Here is a 20,471-nt window from a genome sequence, read left to right on the forward strand (position 1 = left end):
GGCCAAGGCAGGAGGATCGCTTAAAATCAGGAGTTTGAGACCAGCCTGGGCAACATAGTGAGAAACCATCTCTACAAAAAATTTTAAAAATTAGCCGGGCATGGTGGCAGGCACCTGTAGTCCCAGCTACTCAGGAGACTGAAGCAGGAGAATCCCTTGAGCCCAGGAGTTGGAGGCTGCAGTGAGCTAAGATGGTGCCACTGCATTCCAGCCTGGGTGACAGAGCAAGTCCCTGTTGTCTTTTTTTTTCTTTTCTTTTGAGACAGAGTCTCACTCTGTTGCCCAGGCTGGAATAGTCTTGAAACTTTGCCACATTTTTCTTTAAAGAAACGGTCTGAAACACTCACTTTTTGAGTTATATTAAAAACAAAAATCCAGCTGGGCACAGTGGCTCATGCCTATCAACCCAGCACTTTGGGAGTCTAAGGCAGGAGGATAGTTTAAAACAGGAGTTCGAGACCAGCCTGGGAAACAAAGCAAGACCCTATCTCTTAACAACAACAACAAAATCCATAGTAAGGTTAAGATTTGATTTTAGTCATTTATTACCTATTATAAATCATCTCCGGACTCTTTCAAATAAAAATAAAATGTTTTCCAAAGGAATTAGAAATTACATGTTTATTGCAACAGCTGTAATCTCGATAGTCTTTGGAAAATAGTTTTTATCTAATAGTTGTTATAATCAGATAGCTATGAAATAACTAGTATTCAAAACATTTAGATAACCATTTATCTATAATCAATATAAAGGGAAGTGTACGTCATGCAAAATGCAAGACAGTTGTCTACCTTGCATATAGGTGAAAGTCATCCTTGAAAGAAAACATTCTAGTGCTAGAAATAAAAGAAATAGAACCATGAAATATTAGAAGCAAACACACAAAAAATAAGATGGCACTCCTCAGAGGGACAGTAGAGTAGCTAAACTAAAGAATTAAGGAAAAGTTGTAGGTTGAAATTTTATTGCATGACCAGAGCAGCACCTTTAAGAATCTCTTTATTTGGGGCCGGACGCGGTGGCTCACGCCTATAATCCCAGCACTTTGGGAGGTCAAGGCGGGTGGATCACGAGGTCAGGAGTTCGAGACCAGCCTGGCCAGTATGGTGAAACCCTGTCTCTACTAAAAACACAAAAAAATTAGCCGGGCATGGTGGCACGCACCTGTAGTCCCAGCTACTCGGAAGGCTGAGGCAAGAGAATTGCCTGAACCCAGGAGGCAGAGGTTGTAGTGAGCGAAGACCGCACCACTGCACTCCAGCCTGGGTGACAGGGTGAGATTCCGTCTCAAAAAATAAAAAAAAAATTAAAATTAAAATAAAAAAGAATCTCTTAATTTATCATACTGGATGGCCTAGGTGCAAGATTAAGAGAGAAGTTTTTAATTTTATGTATACAACCAACTTTTGCTATTTAAGCCACTGAAACAGAAGGCACCTGGCTATCTATGGAATGAGGAAGCCCCCTTTCCTAAAGCTTACAGTGAGCACATAGCTGCATTAACTTAGCTAGCCAAAGGTTCAGAATAAAGAAGGAAGCAATAAGATGCTATGGGCCCAGCTAAATGGCAAAAAAAAGGCTAAACCAAATCTAGATCATAAATTGAAGCATAATACTTAGTTTATTGGAATCATTTGGTAGAGAATGACATATAAAGTTTAGGCGCCGAATCACGTACATTCCCACCCTTGGTTTATCTCTCTGGGTCAAATCATTGCCACATGTACCTTGTACAAGGTTCCAGGTCCTATTGTCACTGTCACAAAGGTGGAACATGATATGGTGGGACAGGAGATGGGGAGAGGAGAAACATTCAAGGCCAGGGGTATGTGAGGCCAGGAGACAGCAAAGTTGGGGACCTCATCATAAAACAGCAGGGCCTGGCAAGAACCAGCACTACCATGTCCCTGAATTGTGGCTCCTGTTCAGACCAATAAAGGAAAGTCAAATAGATGAGAACTGCTCTTTGCCAAAACACGGCTATTTAGAAAATGCAGTTGCTCAGACAACCTTTTCAAGAAGAAACACTGCAGTCAGGTGAAGACAGAAAAATATAGTAGCCAAGAGCACAGATTCTGGAGCCAGGTTGCTCCAGCTACTGTGAAAATATAGACGATAATTATTATTATCTTAGTGTAAGGGAGCTGCTATGCCAAAGGGAAAGCAAAATAACTAAGAACTCTGATGAAGGGCAGTCTTCAGACCACTGCAGCACCTGTGTATAATGAAAACTGATAGGACTTCTCACTGTCTAAACAAATGCTATAAGGTGCCTGTCGAAGCAAGTCCATTTTGATGCATTTTCTACAGTTGGCCAGGTCAGCAGGTTGTTATTACCATGTTACACAGATGACTGGATTAGTCAGGGTAATTTAACCTGTAGGAAGTGGCAACTCACAGACCTGAGATTTTTATGACCACTCCAATCTGCACCCACGAACACCCTAGGTTCTGTATCACCCACTGAAATACATTTTGCAAATAAAGCCATATAATCAAGCCTGTGAAACACAAAGCTCAGGAAAGGTAAAAAGAACCACAAAATTGTTCAAGGAAGTGAATTTCCCACTTTCACAGAATGAGCAGGACCTGGTTGAGCAGGTTCCTCCTTCAGTAAAACCTCTTTAAGGGCCAGCTGAGAAAAAGGAACGTCACTCCTGTAAGATGTGTTATTTGCCAAATACACGGCCTTTAAAAACTAGTAATGTTCTGTGCAAAGACCAACACTAGTTACTAGAGTTGATACTTTTTTAAGCCATATTGTTAAGGAGACATAATTATCATTTGCCCTAAAATGGGCTGTAATAAGATTCAGGGGCTATATTAAACCATATTAGATTAAGAGATTTTCCCGCCAACTTTTTTCTCTTTATACATATTATATCTATAGAAAGAACCCTAAATCTGTGCTACAGAAATGCTCACATATGTACAAGGATATATGAATAAGGATGTTCATTACAGAAACATTTAATTAGCAAAAAATAAGAAACCACCAAAGTATCAATCAATAGAGAATCATTCAATAAATTATGAAATGGTCACAATATGGAATGCTATATAGCAGTTAAAAAGAATGAGTTGAGGATCTATATGCACCAACTTGGATGGCTCTCTAAAATATATGAAAGAGAAAAAAGTGTATTTCAGACAAGTATACATAATATGATTCCATTTATGTAGAAAAAATGAATATGTGATTATGTACAATATATAATATATATGTAAGTGAACAGAAGAGGGTCTGGAGAAAGAGATTCCAGACTGTAGCTACTTCTGAGAAAGGAAATAACATTGAGGGGAGGAATTAAGTCACTTCTTAACCTATTTTCTTTCATTTAGTAATTTATTCAACAAATATTTAGAGTTCCTCCTATGTACATGTAGGTCCTTTCAAGTCATAGAAATATAATAATGAATAGACAAAGTCCCTGTCCCTCTCCAATGTTCCAGCCAAATGAACAACTTTTGCTGGGACAGTTCTACTCAGCAAAGCAGCCTATTTCATCTTTGAACAGCTTAAATTTTCATAAGATTGGCTTTTTAAATATATCTATTAAACCACAACCTGGATCCTAATAACTGTCAACCAGAGATCCTAAATTTATCCCCTTGAGGCCATACAGAGCACATCTAATCCCTTCTTCAAGTGACAGTCCTTCAAATATTTTAAGAAAGCAATCCTGTCACCCCCTAAATCAGACTAAACACCTCCAGGTCTTCCAGCTGTTCTTCCTGTGACATCGTTTCAAGACTTTGCACCTTCCTGTATGCTTCTTTCTAAATGTTCTCCTCTTTGTCTAGTTTCCTCTAAAAGCTCAGTGTCAAGCCATGATCATGATGCTACAAGGGTCACCTCGTCCCAAAAACAAGGGGGGAAAGAAAGACAATGATCTGCCTCATTTTTAACAACTATACCATACCTTAATCTTATTCCCCACCACACCAACTAATCCTCTCCTCTGCACAGTTTTATTTGAAATGAATTTTGTTACAGAAAGCAATGCTTGCAAGAAGATACAAAGCATCTGACGCCCTTAGGATTTTCCTAAATGTTAGTTTTTTAAAGTGTTTCCATTTACATGTCTAATAAGACAACAAATACCATTTCATAAAACTAATTTGAAATGTAAAACTATGTCCTGCTGCAGCCCAGTGAGAATAAGGACGTCCTGTTCACCACTGCATCCTCAGTGGCTAGAACAGTGCCCAACGTGCAACAGTTGCTCAGTACATGTTCAGGAGACGTTGGCTTGTGCACGAGTGAAATAAGCCTCAAATCACTCAACTTTAAGTCTGCATTTGGGCAGAAGGCAACAACTAAGTGAAATGAAAGTCACTCATTAAAATATGCCTAGCATTTGTGCAGCACCATAAGGTGTTCAGGACTTTTACGTATACTAACTCATTGATCAATGACTCTGTGAGGTGAAAAGAATGACAACTGGCCAGGCGCGGTGGCTCACACCTGTAATCCTAGCACTTTGGAAGGCCAAGGCGGGCGGATCATGAGGTCAGGAGTTCAAGACCAGCCTGACCAACATGGTGAAACCCCGTCTCTACTAAAAATACAAAAATTAGCCGGGCGTGGTGGCGGGTGCCTGTAATCCCAGCTACTCGGGAGGCTGAGGCAGGAGAATCGCTTCAACCCAGGAGGTGGAGGTTGCAGTGAGCTGAGATCATACCACTGCACTCTAGCCTGGGCGACAGAGCGAGACTCTGTCTCAAAAAAAGACAACCGTTCACCTTTCTGACAGGCAAGAAGAGATAACAATCATGAAGTAAACAGCCAGAACATCATACCACGTGGCCAGCTAGGATGGCGCTGCCATGCAACACAGCAGTCCTCTAACTTCTTCCCAGGCATCCTTCACCTCATCGCGGCACCTCTGCCTCTCTCTGCTCTTCAAGTAATGATGTTTTTAAAAAGCTGAGAGTAATGCCGCATGTGTAAACCCATCTTCTTTCATATTTTCAAAACCCTAGGAGAGCTCCTTGTTTAAAGCAGGGCCCCTCACCAGCAGCAATATTTTGGATCAGGTAATTCTCTGTTACGGGTGTAATCTCTTGTAGGATATTAGTAGAATCCCTTCCTTCTACCCACTTCTACCCCTGCCTTCTAGACACCTGTAGCAGCCCTCCAGCTGTGACAACCAAAAATGTCTCCCTACATTGCCAAATGTTCCTGGGGTATGGCCAAACCTCTACCAGTTAATAATCAATGAATTAAGGCCGGGCTCAGTGGCTTATGCCTGTAATCCCAACACTTTGGAAGGCCGAGACCAGCAGATTGCCTGAGCTCAGGAGTTTGAGACCAGCCTGGGAAACACAGCAAAAACCCACCTCTACCAAAAAAACAAAAAATTAACTGGGAGTGGTGGCGAGCACCTGTAGTCCCAGCTGCTCGGGAGGCTGAGGCAGGGGAATTGCTTGAACCTGGGAGGTGGATCGTGCCACTGCACTCCAGCCTGGGTGACAGAGCGAGACCCTGTCTCCGAAAAAAAAAGCAAAACCAAAAAAAAAAAAAAAAAGAATTAAAGGAATCCTACAGTAAATCCATTCACATGGCAGTAGTAATAATTTAAGAGAGCACAGAAATATTTCAGGAACATGATTTGCTTTCCAGGTACAAACAATATAGCCATTAGCTCTTAAAAATATATATTCGAGTTTCAGCAAGTTCTCCAAGTTCAGAATAGGTTACTAAAAGCATGCTTTACTTCTGTAAACTCCCAAAGCACCAGGATATAGTCTGTTTACCCACACCTGCTCTCACATGTCTCTCTCCTCTGATATCCATTCTAGGTGATGCCTCCAAAATGCTCATCCTTTTTTGCCTCTCCTACCTTAACACTAGTTCAAGCCCTTTACTGGGTACCCAGCCTTTTAGATTCACTCTCAATCGCTGAGCTACTTTCAGCATCTAACAAACAAAGAAAAATAACCAACCAGAGTGAGAATAAAGGGCACAAGCAGAGCATGTCTTTCAGAGCTGTGCAATCCTTTTGAGTCACAGTTGCAACCCAGGTTGAATCTACACAAATAGACTTAGAGCACTTCGGCCTTTTCCTTTGAAGAGATAGAAGCCCCTGTCCAGACGTGCTCGGGAGGTGGAGAAAGATGTTGGGAAAGGGAAGGAGAGATACACAGCAGTGTAACCTAATAACCTCCTTTACCCATGGAAGTAAAACACTGTTAACAGTTGAGGGGTGGAGGGTCCATAAACATGAAATGATACACAACCAGATTCTACTCAACAGGATGGCAATAAAAGGAGTTAGGAAAATTCTGGAAGTTGGTAGTTAAAAACTAAATATTTCACTTAAGTTTTCTACAGTTGTTAAGCCATTGCAAAAGGGGGATGAATGTTAGTTATTAGCATTTTAAAAGGTTCTACTTCAGCATAAAGGTCATTTCCAATCAATGGGAGGTCCAATATAATTAAAAGGTGCCTAAATTATTATTGAGGAATCACTTTCTTTATGTCAGAGGAAGTACTGCAAGCCTTTTGAGATTTTTTTGTTTTGTTTTGTTTTGTTTTGTTTTGTTTGAGACAGGGTCTCACTCTGTCACCAGGCTGGAGTGTAGTGGCACGATCTCAGCTCACTGCAAACTCTGCCACCCTGGTTCAAGCAATTCTCCTGCCTCAGCCTCCCAAGTAGCTGGGATTATAGACATGCGCCACCACGCCCGGCTAATTTTTGTATTTTTCGTAGAGATGGGGTTTCACCATGTTGGTCAGGCTTGTCTCGAACTCCTGACCTCGTGATCTGCCCGCTCGGCCTCCCAAAGTGCTGGGATTACATGCATGAGCCACTGCGCCTGGCCTTTTTTTTCTTTTTTCTTTTTTTTTTTTGAGAAGGATTTTTACTCTTGTTGCCCAGGCTGGAGTGCAATGGCACAATCTCGGCTCACTGCAACCTCCACCTCCCAGGTTCAAGCAATTCCCCTGCCTCAGCCTCTCAAGTAGCTGGGATTACAGGCGTGTGCCACCATCCCCAGCTAATTTTTGTATTTTAGTAGAGACGGGGTTTCACCATGTTGGTCAGGCTGGTCTCAAACTCCTGATCTCAACTGATCTACCGGTCTCGGCCTCCCATAGTGCTGGGATTACAGGTATGAGCCACTGTGCCCGGCCACCTTTTGAGATTTTTTAATTAAATTTCTCCAAGAATAGTATACACAGCTTGCCATAGTAGTAACTTCCTGCTCCTATCCATGCGTGCATGCGGCCCTCAGAGAACGCCGAATGCTGTGCTTCTGTCCCAAATGGAGAAAGGAACTCAAAAACCCCTCCACTGTTTAACAGATGGAATTGCCAAGTAGACTTTAAAAAAAGTGTGCTCCTTCTCTGATCCACTGAATGGAACCCCATGATCTTTAAGTATTTATTATACAGCAGGCCCTCAACTCCATTTTCTGCATAATTTTATCTAACCCTATTTCTTTTGTTCTTTAAACTTTCTTAGATTTAAACAACAAAAAAATTAAACTAAATTAATCAGTTCTTGGTGACAGCTGATTTTTCAGAAGCTACATTTCCAAGTCACAAAACTAAATAGTGAATTTTTGGAATCTGTCTGGAAAGCAGGCTGTATTTGTAATAAAAATTTAATTTGTGGGGGGATACTGTAATTTTGGAGCAGTCATCTGCAAATTAACTTATTTGGCAGATACCAATGTCAAATTGGTATGAAACAACAGGAAAGTAAAGCATATTATAATATTTTCCTTAAAAATCATGGAAAGGTGATATAACACCCTGAAGCCTGAAACTGCTGTCGTTAGTGCCAATGACTATACTGATTTTTAAAAATCTGGCCGGGTGCGGTGGCTCACACCTGTAATCCCAGCACTTTGGGAGGCTGAGGTGGGCAGATCACAAGGTCAGGAGATCGACACCATCCTGGCCAACATGGTGAAACCTGTCTCTACTAAAATACAAAAAATTAGCCAGGCGTGGTGGTACATGCCTGTAGTCTCAGCTACTCGGGAGGCTGAGGCAGGGGAATCACTTGAACCCAGGAGGCAGAGCTTGCAGTGAGCCGAGATTGCATCACTTCACTCCAGCCTGACGGCAGAGTGAGACTCCATCTCAAAAAAAAAAAAAAAAAAAAAAAAAATTGTTACGCCCTTGAATCTGGCTAGAATAATACTGAAAATCTACAGAGAATATATATTGTCAAAGTCTTGGATGCAAGAGCGTGATTTAGTATCTTAACTTCCATGAAACACTATGGACAATGTACCAATGCTGCTGAATGAATGAATGAAATTAGAAACTCAGTCTTTATTATTTGTGCTAAGTAAGAATAAAGGCAAATCCATACTAAATCCAAAATGGTATTGTATCTGATTGTTTCATTAGTTCTGAGAGTCAGGAGCACCAAAATTAAATTTTTTCTCTTCTTATTGCTTCTTCCCACTCTTTGATAACGGTGTTAAAGATCACTGAAAAGACCAAAAGGTTGGCAGCAGGTGGGGGGAAGGAAAAACAAAGCAAGCAGCCAGGGGATCTGAAAACTCAACCATCAGCCTTTGAATAATAGAGTGAAAAATGTAAAGCTATTTGGGAGACTTAAAAGGTAGACACTATGAAAATCTTGACAGTGAGTTTTAAATATGTTCCTCTTTATAAGAGTCTGATGTCTGTTTGATTGATTTCACAGTTCTCCAAGATGGGTAATGTGGAAAAAGACAACAGAATTTAGCCTTTTTAAGCTCAAGAGTATAAGACAGGACTGTTACTTAACAAACAGGGAACAGTAATCACACAAGTACTTCAAATATATCCAAGAATTACTATTTAACATGCAAAACAGGTTCTTACACTGGATCCCTTCTATGACACTCACACCAGGGTGAGTGAGTGAATGAGTGAATGTGTGTGTGTGTGTGTGCACGTGCATGCATGAGAGAGAGAAATGCCTTATATTCCTATCTCAACCAAATGGGCAGGAAAACTTCTTTAACAACAGTTGGCCATTAGTCTCACAGCGATATTCAGAAAATAACTCCATATAACTCTATTTTACTATTAAATTCCTCATCCTTCTTCTTCCAGAGATGTCAGTAAACTATGTACAGGACTGCCCATTTTTCTCCTATCAGGTGGCAGAAATCCTAAAAAAGATTCTAAAGTTTGCCCTTATAATTCTAATGAGACAGGATAGAAAGTATCAAGCATACTAGCTTCCTGAAAACTTGGCTTTCCCTGGGAAGGAACTCAGCTTGAAGAGCATTTTGTAGATTATGATTAATGCTTAACTAACTCTGCTTCTACTTTTCTGACCACTGGCTGCCCAGTACTAAATAAAATATACCACAACCAAATAACATAATAGAATTAAACATGTATTGGAGCTTAAAAAAATGCTTCTTGAGAATTAAAAGAAAAAAATACATATGAAGGACAGAAAAAACAAAATTTCAAAAAGTTTTCCACAAACTTAAGGCATGCTGTGTTGGGCAATGGAAAGCTTTCCGAAAGACAGTCTGTCCTGTTACCCATGCTAGCGGCAGAACAGGATAAGCCAAAGAAAAGGTTATCATAGGGAAGATGTAGAAATAGCTTGGTAATACGAGCTTGCCAAAAAAATTGATACAGAGCCAGTAATTTACCTTCAACAGGGTAAGAAATGGGAAGCCAGATTAACGTATAAGGACATTCAGCAGTGGACTAATATGTTGACATTTCCTGAATCTATTCCAGGAATGGATGGAACATTTTGGATGGGTTGTAGTTGTCTCCAATACTCGGTAATAACGCATTTATTATTAAATGCATGTTATGAATTTTTTGTGATAAGCTCTTCAGAACAGGGGTCACATAGATTTATGCAGTCTGTAAGCTGTATATAAATTAAGCACACTCTGAAAGTTACGATGGTGCTAATACAGTGAAGAGGTCATGAAAATAATATGGTCTTATCTAAGTCAACTAAGACTATCACCATTTTAAAATTTTGAAAACTGTGCACTGTCATGCTTTTTGATGTGCCTGCTCAGCTTGAAAATGTACTTGTCAATTGAAATTTGCCTTAAAATTTTAACCAGGACCTCAGTTCCAAATACAGCAAATAAACAATGCCCCCTTTTGTTACCACAAATAATTAAAAGCCATCTTTTCAACTGAGGCTCTCTGATAGGTGAAGTCAATAATTTTCACCAAGTCTTTGAGGGGAAGAAAAAAACTATGTCAATAAAGTGGTGGTGGTTGGGATGGGATCATTTGACTACATGTTCAGAACGGACCTAATACCTGAGGTAGTGCAGCTTCAAACCCAGGTCTGTGCCACCTGCTCTATCAACAGGGCTGGTGAGGACTCACACAGAACCCAGCCCCCTCTGTGGCAGCCTGGAGCCAAGGAAAATTTTTTACCCCTCACCCACTCTGCTTTTTGTTTGCTATTTTTTTGTTGTTGTTTTTCATGCCCATTCTTGTAAATGTGTAAGATAGGAAAACAAATCAAAAGAGGCAAAGCCCTCATTAGACTGCCTTCTTAATCCAAGCGAGGCAGAAAGATAATTAATCGATATTTAGTACTTCGGACATATTGGTCCTTAGAAAGTAAACAATACCAATGAAACAGTAAAGAATCCTATTCATCTTTATTTTTATATCACCGTTATTATTATTTGGTTGTGGGTGATCATTGTTTTTCTTTAGGGCTTTCCAAATAGAGCGCCCAATCTGAGAACTACATTTAATTGTTCTGTGCCTCACTGGAGTACAACTATAATCCTGCAGTCAATTCAAGAAAATGAAGAGCAACGTTTTCTTTACAACCTCTATTTTTGAGATTTTACCTCAATACAGACTGTTAAAATACTCTCAGAAGCCAAGGTTAACTTTTAAACTAATTATTTTAAAAGGAAATATAACTTGTAGAGCATGTTTCTTTCTTTTTTTTTTTTTTTTTTGGTACACAGAATTTACTTGCAACTCTGCTTAAGAGTTAAGGCTTACATTACATTCATCACACTCATCACACATACCAGTGAGAGATGCATGTGAAACAGCTGAAGCTAAAATACACTCCTATTCTGTACACAGCCCTGGCATTTATTAGTGCGTAAGTCTAATCAACAGGCTAAATCATTGTCATAAAATGACAGAAAATTTTATTTTCACGCAGTCATCTTTCAAGTCTATTTGTTGCTAATTTGCTAAACTGGGATTCACTATGAAATCTACAGCTGATGTCTCTGTCTATTGAAGCAAGCATTATCTTTCTATTTTCAAAAGTAAGCTGTGGCTTGGGCTTGCTGTCTTCTTCCCAGTAAGGTCAGGAGGCTGGGCTTGCTTCCACCTGCGAGTGTATCACAAACCAGGCGCGCGCACCCGAGCCCTCCCTCCACCAGGGCGGAAACCAGAGAACACAACCCAAACACCGAAAGTTTCTGGTCGCAAACTCTACTCATCTTGCCGTGTCCAGAGACCCGGCACTGGGAACGGCACTGGCTTTTGTTCCAGGGTCCCCCAGCTGGCGAGGTAAACGCCACAGCAGTCCTTGATCCCCAAAGGTTGTGAGAGATTCTGTGGCACGGGAATTTTGGAGCCTCCCGAAAGGAGCCCATTTCTCCGCAATCCATGCGCGTGGGGTGTACAAATACACGAAAAGAGGACGCGGGGTGGGCAGGCATGAAACCTTCAGTGCCTCTTAAATTCTCAGTCTCAGGTTCACAAAGTGAATCTCCTCCTCCGTGGAAGGGCGCTAGGGGGGCGGGGGCTGGGAGAGAAATAGGTTGGAGAAAGGGACCGGAGCTACAGTCGAGATGCGGGACCGGCCCCGCCTCCGGCTACAATCAGAAAAACTACAGTGTGTCAGTGGTTTTCGGTTTCCTGTTTGTAAAGCGAGAACCTCCCCCGACTCGAACTGTCGTTCTTCCTCAAAACCAACCGAGACGGCCCCTTCTTCGCGCTCGGGGCAGGCTCAGCCGCAGGGGGAGCGGAGAGGAGGGACGCGGGGGCATGGGGGGCGCGGCGGGGCGGGGACAGCCGCGATGAAGCGGGCAGGGCCACGGGGCGCAGCACCCCTCCCAGCCCAGCGGCCCCGGGGTCTGAGCTGGGCCGCGAGGCGGACAAAGCGCCTCCCGCTCCCTCCCCCACGGCCACGTTCCAAAAGGGAGGAAGAAGGCGGGCAAGAGTGGCTGGAGGAGGAGGAAGGGAGGAGGAAGGGGAGGGGGAGGAGGAAGAGGAGGAGGGAAGGTGCTGCCGGCGGGACTGGGCAGGATCGCGCCGACCTGGGAGGGGAGGGAGGAGGGGTTGAGCGCCCCCGGAGAACTGGGAGGAGGGAAGGATTCTTGAAGCCCAAGATAAACAAATTGTTCCTCTTCACGTGCGGGGTGGGGGGACGTGGGGAGCGAGCACTGCGGCGTCGCCTCCCCTCCCCCAAGCCGACTCTTTGTCACCGAGCGCCGGCCCGAGCCCCCGGCGAAAGCCCACGGCAGCACTGGCACCACCCCGGCGCCGGGGACTCACAGACCGGGAACGTGTGCGATTTCTAAACCGCACGACGGGAGGGCCGCCCCTGCCGGGCTCTGCGCCGCCGATCGCTGGGCGGTCTGCACGGGAAACAGGCGAAGGCGCGCGGCCCCGGCACGCTCCAGGATTCCCGTCGCCTGGCCCACCCAGCACCCGGGCGGCGCGGTGCGGGGGGGGGGGGCACACACCTTTCCCAAGCTTCCGGCCTCCCCTCACCCAGAAAGGAAAGCAAAAGAACCGGAGAGGGGAGATAAGAGAAAGGATTCTAGCCTCCGGCTTGGGGGGTGGGAACTGCCCCTTCCTCCTGGAGAAGTTAAGCCATTGGCTGCTCATCCTACCTCGAACCCGCCCACCCAGCCATTTAAGCCTCTTTTACCTCCCTGCTACCTTCCATTGCTCTGGGCTTATTAAGCAGGCCCCCAAAGTTGGCGGGCAGCGGGGCAGGGGGCGCCAAGCGGAGAAAGACTCCGTGCACGCAAGTTTAAAAGGAAAAAAGGAAAGAATCCCAAGCGAAGTTGTGTGGTGGGGCCTCTTGGCGCAAACCCTGGGTATTGCTTTCCCCTCCCGCCCCCTCCAGGCCGCTCCCCTCTTAACCCTCCCAGCCGCTCCACCTGCCGGGCTAGCCCCGAGTCGCGAGCAAAGAGCGGAGCGCACCCGCGCCCCGCATCCGCGCGCGCTCCCGCGAGCACCCCCGCGCGCAGCCACCCTCGCTCGTTTCTCACCCACTTCAAAGTTCATTCACAAAACTCTCAGACTTTCTCAGCCCAAAGGGGGTGAGCTGGGGAGAGGAGGCGAGAGGCTCTCCTTCCCCGCTTCCCCCCTAGGGGTTGAGGGCCTGGTGCCCGCCCAGAACCTGCGACAGCATCAATATTTCCACGCACCCGGCGGATGTGCTGAGAGGGGTGGGCGTAGGGGGACGGGTCTGGGGAGGCGAGGCGGCGCGGCTAGAGGTGGGGTGGGGAGCGGCGAAGAGGAGGAGCAAGGTTTCAACTCAGGGGTTCACTCTTTCAAATCGGTATCTTAAGAAAGGGAAGGGGGGAAACTTTTCCAGCACCTCACTCCGACGCTCCTCTAGGCTCCCTCCGCCCCTCGCAGTCGTGACTGGCTTCTCCCCTCTCGCCCCCTCCTCCCCAAATCTGACAACCCTGACAGATTAACAGGTAGCGACGACGGCAGCTTTTTCCCTAAGAAAAGTTGACGTTAACCCTTAGGCTTCAGCCCACCTCACCCACCGTGCAAATCAGACCCTTGTACCCCCATGTAAGAAGCTCCACGCGCCCCCCACCACCACCACCACCCCCAACGCGCGCCGCAAGCCCGCTGCCCGTGCGCCCTCACCATGATCAGCGTGTGGTTCCTCTGCTCCGCCGAGGCAGCCTCCGCATCTTGCTGGGGTTTGCTCGGGTGCTGCTGTTTGCCGGTGCCGGCGCCCGATTTCTTGGCCCTCTGCTCCAGGGTCCGCTGGTAGAGGCTCACGGTGTCCCGGCGCTCCAGCTCCAGCTGCTCCACCTGAGCCTGCTGGTACCTGTTCTCGCAGTTGACGTGGTGCCGACGGCAGCCCTCGATGCGCTGGCGGAGCCGCTCCACCACGGTGCTGTGCTTGGGAACGGCCGCCGAACCGCCGCCGGGGCCCCCGGAGCCGCCGCATCCACCGGCTGCCGGGTGATTGCTACTCGGAGCAGCGGGAGTACTATTGGGAGTATTATTCACACCGATCCCGGCCCCGCCGAGGCTGCTGTTCAGGCTACTGTTGATGCAAATACTACTGCCATTCGCGGCAGCAGCGGGGGCTGCGAAATCCCCCATCCTGCTCCCCGGGCACACTATTTTGGAAGAACTTTTTTTATCCACCCCCCTATCAGCCTCCTCCTTGGGTCCAAGGATTAAAATAGTTTAAGTGGAACGCGGGGGAGACGCAAGCACATGGATGGAAACGGCGATCCCGACGGGGCGAAAAAAACGGGGGGGGAGATTTTGGGGTGGTTTTTGTTTCCTTTTTTTAAACTGTAAAAGCTCAAGGGGAAGAAAAGGGGGGAACGTTATCGGAATACCATCAGACACCTATCAACAAAAAGAATCACAACAAACTGAGCCAGCAGCAAATCGGGTTGCAACTCAAGGGGAGATCCGCTCCTTGCTTGCCTTCTTTTTATAATCCATTATTTTCTAATAAATTCCAGGAGATTTCCGGTGGTTGGCAAGCATTTTCTCCCTACATACCGAAAAACACACCCCATGTACACACACAAGCATATGCCTCCAGTGCGGACACGCGCGACACACACTCACTCCACACCGCATCGGAAAACGGCAAGCTTGCTTATTGCATTTTCCTTCCACAAAAAAGTTTTGGTGTTTATGCCGCCCCGTGTTCTCAAAGTACTTTGGCTGCTCAGTTGCATTTCACAGGAACCTAGATATCGAATCCTCGGGCTGGGGGAAGTAAACACATGGACAGTCCGAGGCGACTGCAAAAGTAGATCGGTGAAGTCCTTTGCAAAACGCCGCGCAGAGAGCAGCACCTAACGCTCGGCTGGGCTGCCGCTGCCGCCGCTGCTCCTGCCACCATCACAATGATCAACTGCTCGCCGCCGCCGCCGCCGCCGCCTCCTCCTCCTCCTCTCGCTCCTCCACCTCCTCCTCCTCCTCCATGCCAGCGGAGTGATATCAGGACGCGCGAGCTCAGTAAACACGGCAGCGGCGGCGGCTGGAGGCCGTGAGACAGGCCCGCGGACACGGCGCAAAACCCGGCCCGGACTCTCACCCGGCAGGAGCGGGCGCGGCACGCACCAGCACCCGGCTCCCGTCTCCGTCGCCTCGGCGCCCGGCGCCCCTCCTACGCCCCCAACCACACTACCGCCCCGCCGAGAAGCCCAGAGCCGTCGGCGACGGAGAGAAGAAAGATTCTGGGGGGATCTCAGAAATAAATCAACTTTTGACCTGTGTGTGTGCGTGAGAGCGTGTGTGAGTGTGTGTGTCTGTGTATGCGCGCGCGCGTGCGCGGGGACGCGCCTGGTAGGGTTTCCTTATTCCAAGGAAAGTATCAAGCGATCCCAAGTTGTTGTTATACATTTATGCATTATATTGCAGAACTGTGCATGACCAGGCAGAAACATTGAAGCTTTACAGCAGTTGTCTGTCATCCCTATCCATGTGGAAAGAAAAAGGCAAATGAGTGACTTGTTTTTAAAACCCAGGTAATAAGTCTGCGCTAGTAACAGCGCTACTTACGGACACTTGTTCCAAGTCTAGGCCAGACTGAACACACAAATACCAAATTCTAAATAAATAGAAATAGGCATCAAAAATGTGTAATATTTAACTCACTGTACATAATGATTGTTGTTACTAAGTCAATTATTGTTTTACTTACCCTTGGAAAAAAATAAAGCAAGCAGGGACTTGGAGGTGAGACTAACAGTACATTTAAACAGACTGTTTTGAACACTAGGTGCTAATGACAGCAGTAATTAAGGTCCTTCGTAAATCAAGTGGAAAGATTGCAGATTTCATAGACTAGAACTATAGAAAAAACACAGCATTTCACAGTTTGTCATGACCAAAACAAAAACAAGCAAAAATAACAGGCCTACTTTATTGCTGGATATATTTCTTTCCATTTCAATGAATTCACAATAAGTACAATTAAAATGGACTAGCAACTGCAGAAATCAATCTAAACTTTCCATTTTATTAAAGCACATTATCTTTCCCGATATTATCTAAAAACAAAAATAACAACTAAGGATCAAATATTCTTGAATATGGACTTAAACCATTGCATATACATATTTTTAAAAATTAAGATGGAGAAATTATTATTTCTCTAATAATCAGTAAACTATAAATCTTGATTGTGAGATGTTAATTATAAGTCATTTTGTATTATTTCAATAAATCTTAAGAATTAGTTTTTAGGGTAAAAATACACCCCAGTTTTCTAAAATAGCCAGGAATAAAAGAACTTTGGATCTTATGCATTAGTCATGAGATCTGATTTAAACCATCTTCATTTCTTGGCATTGCAGATTAGCACAGGATGCTATTTCTAACCTCATAATGTCAGCGATAAGAAGCTATATTTTTCTTCAATTAATCAGTTCTATATAGTGAACGATATTTTTAATATTCACTGGATATATGGCAAAATGGGCAGCAAAATATTTAATACGGTGTGAGGCTACTTCTAAGCAGTAAAACCAACTTAAGAGAGTGTATATTTCATTGAAGTTGCCACACTTTTTCTGAAGGCTATTTAGTTAATATACAAATTTCTGTATCAAACTGCCCTTCTTCAAGTCTCAGTCAGAAAATTTAACTGGACTACGTCTGTAGCAAAAGAGCCCGTTCAGATTCTGAAAATATGTAGAGAATTTTAAGAAATTAGAAAAAGAGGTAGCAAAGTGGCCTTTATCTTTTTCACATATTCACTAAATAATATCTCTATTAACTCAGGAAACACATGGCTTCGCCACAGAGGGGAAGCTATGACTCTGCATTCGCTTTGCTCTCTCTTCACCGTAGTTTAATTCTTTTTTTTTTTTTTTTTTTTGAGACAGAGTCTTGCTCTGTTGCCTAGGCTGGAGTGCAGTGGCGCCATCTTGGCTCACTGCAACCTCTGCCTCCCGGGTTCCAGTGATTCTCCTGGCTGAGCCTCCTGGGTAGCTGGGATTACAGGTGCACGCCACCACACCTGGCTAATTTTTGTATTTTTAGTAGAGACGGGGTTTCACCATGTTGGCCAGGCTGGTCTGAAACTACTGACCTCAGATGATCCACCTGCCTTGGCCTCCCAAAGTGCTGGGATTACAGGTGTGAGCCACTGCGCCTGGCCACACTGTAGTTTAATTGTTATCCCTCCTCCTTCACTTGCCTCCATCACCCACAAAAGACTGCAGTTTGATTTACAGAGGCAACAAATTTGAGGGTCTTAAGCACTGGGTCTTTAGTTTTTGAGACTTGGGTTCTCATTTTAGCTTTTTCCTGTGACTCAGAATTTAATTATTCATTGAGAGTTTCTCATTCTGGGGAAAAAATGACAACAATAGCAGCACCATGTATTCCCTTCAAGCTGTTTACCTCTCCTACCATGAAGGGAAACCAAAAAGACACAAGAATTTGCATCCTTCCCTTTGGGGAACCAGCAGGTGGGACAGCACACTTTGTGGTTTTACCACAGAGTTCCCCAATGACAAATGAAGCTCTTCTTGCACAACCACAGTATACTTTGCTGCCTGATTTTAGTGCATGAATGGGCTATACCCAAAAGAAAAACTGTTACATGTGTACACACAAACAAGCGCACACACAGGCACCCGTCTTTCATCTCTCCAAAATGGGAGTGGCAGCCACAAGCTCCATGCCCCAGATGTGGGGAAAGGAAGAACTGTGAAACTGTGTGATGGCCAGAGGGGAAGAATCTTTGAGAAACCGACCTGTGCAGGACTCTGCTGTGACGTACCAGAGGTCAGAAACCCCATTCTCATTGTGCAGGAAGATTAGAAGAAAGAAGCAAGAAGCAAGCAAGGCTTGCATCTTGAGCAACATATGCCAGTCACCCTGAATTAGAGATGTTGATCTACTCCAGTGACCTTAGAAGAAACAGAGACCTTTATGCTGGCTACTTCCAGATCCCATGATATGGTCCTGCAAGGTTTCCAGCTTTGTTGGTCACCTTCCTAAAGAACTCCTTGAAAGTCATAGAGAAATCCAAGTTCTGGAGAAGCAATTTTAGTCCCTTCTCACAGCACAACACTGACAGCATGACCATCTTTGTCTTTTCTGTGAGCCTGCTACAAGGCAAAACTTCAGGATGAAAGCGGTAGACACAGCATCAATGCTATTGTTCTTGAATGACAAAAAATAATAATAATAATAATTGAGATGCCATAGCAGTGATGAGAAAGAAATTACTATGACTGCATCCCCAACTGTGATGATATCTCTCTGGATGCCAAGGAAAGAAGGGCTTGATGAATAAGTAGCTACACCAGGTTATCCTGTTGTCCTGGCTCTGAGCCAAAGTTGGCAGTTCTGAGGAGTTCAACCAGGTTCCATTTCCTTTACACCAAGTCTGTGTCATCTTCCTATATTCACCTGAGAAGGCCTAGTGTCCCAGTGACAAGAAAGAGACCTTTGTGCGGAAATTCCAGTCTATGTGCCCCCTCTGTTTCCCTCTTACTATGGATCAATAGATCTGCTTTCATAAAAGAGTATCTTGTGGCTAAAGAAGAATAGGAACCCTCTGCTGCCCACATATGAGCAACCAAACCTTTATATCTTTCCAAAGTGGGGCCCAGGCACTCCTAAATTACTAGCAGCCGGGGGATGTGCCCTCAGCTGTCTAGCAATAGGTATCATTTCAATAATTCCATGAATATATTTATGGCCTTCTGTGTGCCACACACTGTGGTAGGCACTGGGTGAACAGCATAATAACAGTGTATAGAACACAGTCCCAACCTCAATGACGGCCAACTAGAATCAGGGCAGTATATGCCATAATAGAATTAATATGGAGTGGGTGTAGGAACAAGCAAAAGAGTGCATGCTTGGAGGAGCTAAGAATCCGTCTCCAAAAAAATCCAGTGGTAGTTCCTTCTCACACGATTGTGAGTGTGAAAGAGTGTGATGAGAAATGAGATGGAGGCTGGGGAGACAAGCAGGACCTGGATTGTTCAAGGCCATCCAGTTTAGACTATATCCTTGGGACAATGGCTGCCATTAAAAGGACTTAAGCTGATTTACACTGTTTACTTTGGCAATGCAGTGGATGTATTATTATAGCGTTTTCAGAAGTGTGTCTGAAAAACTTGGTTCCGTAAGATGCTTTACCAGAAAGGCTTCTGAGCTAAGTAAGTTTAGGACATGTTCTGTACTGCATCTCTCCAAAGAGTTATTACCACATTGAAGGTCACAAGAAATCTTGAAGCAAAGCATGTTTAACTTTGTTTAACCTAACATTGCCAAAATCCTGTTATGTCCCACAGAATAGAACACACTCTAGAAAGCTCTGTGGTATAGGAGAGAGTGAAAACTGAAGGCAGTTCTAAATCCACTTAAATTTACAACAATTGCCTGGGCACGTAGCCTAAGTCAACGACCACAAGGCCCTTGCCATCTGCTCTACCAGAATCACTAGTCCAGATCTCCCGGGCCTTCCTAACCTCAGCTGGGTGTGTGAATTCTGACCTTTAAATATTGAGGAAGTAGCAACACAAAGGCAAAATCCCAAAAGGGTGAATTTGACTAGCCTTTTTCAGCATTAGTACTTTGAGTATGTTATATTAATATCTATCCCTGTGTAATAAAACCTCCTTATTAGGAGAAAAGGTTGGCCTTATTTAACTGAAAAGATTATGTAATATCTTTAAAGCTATAGATTTTCATTACATTTGAAGCATGCACTCTGTCTAGCCTAACAAAACTGGCCTCTTGGAGCTATTTTAATGATCTCCTTTTACCTATGAAGCAATTGCATATAGGTGACATGCCTCATGAACTAGGGGTGTTTCAAAAATTTGCTTTCTTAAGTATTTAAATACCTCTCGCAAGATTCTGTGTATGTTGTTAATTCTCATTTTTTATTAAGAAGGGGTTTACTAAGTCCTAGACCATGTCATAAATTTTGAGAGGAGTATGAATTAATAGGATTTATTTTCTTATTCATGTATTTTAATATGTATATAATAGTTTCATGGTTATTAGGGGAAAGGTTATCTAAAGTCCATGGCAGAGAAATTTTTTAAAAGTCTCTCATTCTGTTTCATATATATTTCTACTCTCACGGTTAAATAATATAATAAGGCATCTGACTTGAACAATGTCTGGCTTTCATATACAAAGTTGAAGACTTCTGAAAGAAAATATTTATGAATTTTTAAATTTATTGAAGGCCCATAATCAGCTAAACTGTTAACGTTAGAAATAATTAATTGTGATGGCCAACAGTCATTGAAAATTTGCTCTATTCCAGGTTCTATT

General features: G+C 44.2%; 1 protein-coding gene across 3 annotated transcripts in view, besides 2 other annotated features; it reads right to left on the bottom strand.

Annotated features, from left to right (window-relative positions):
* MAML3 (mastermind like transcriptional coactivator 3) overlaps positions 1-15,151 on the bottom strand; it is a 437,432-nt gene extending 422,281 nt beyond the window's left edge. For all 3 annotated transcript variants that reach the window (XM_047415929.1, NM_018717.5, XM_047415930.1), the window contains exon 1: positions 13,827-15,151. In XM_047415929.1, the coding sequence (XP_047271885.1) occupies positions 13,827-14,294 (468 nt within the window). In that variant the 5' untranslated portion in view covers positions 14,295-15,151. The remainder of the gene's footprint in view (positions 1-13,826) is intronic.
* Positions 11,025-11,869: an enhancer, noted in NCBI's record as "H3K27ac hESC enhancer chr4:141071212-141072056 (GRCh37/hg19 assembly coordinates)". NCBI's record gives its function as "activates a minimal SCP1, AML or CMV promoter by ChIP-STARR-seq in naive H9 embryonic stem cells {active_cell/tissue: H9 hESC(naive)}" and the evidence as "EXISTENCE:reporter gene assay evidence [ECO:0000049][PMID:30033119]".
* Positions 11,870-12,712: an enhancer, noted in NCBI's record as "H3K27ac hESC enhancer chr4:141072057-141072899 (GRCh37/hg19 assembly coordinates)". NCBI's record gives its function as "activates a minimal SCP1, AML or CMV promoter by ChIP-STARR-seq in naive H9 embryonic stem cells {active_cell/tissue: H9 hESC(naive)}" and the evidence as "EXISTENCE:reporter gene assay evidence [ECO:0000049][PMID:30033119]".
* Positions 15,152-20,471: the final 5,320 nt, after the last annotated feature.

Source organism: Homo sapiens, chromosome 4 (genome assembly GCF_000001405.40).
Source record: "Homo sapiens chromosome 4, GRCh38.p14 Primary Assembly".
In the NCBI taxonomy this organism is placed as follows: domain Eukaryota; kingdom Metazoa; phylum Chordata; class Mammalia; order Primates; family Hominidae; genus Homo; species Homo sapiens.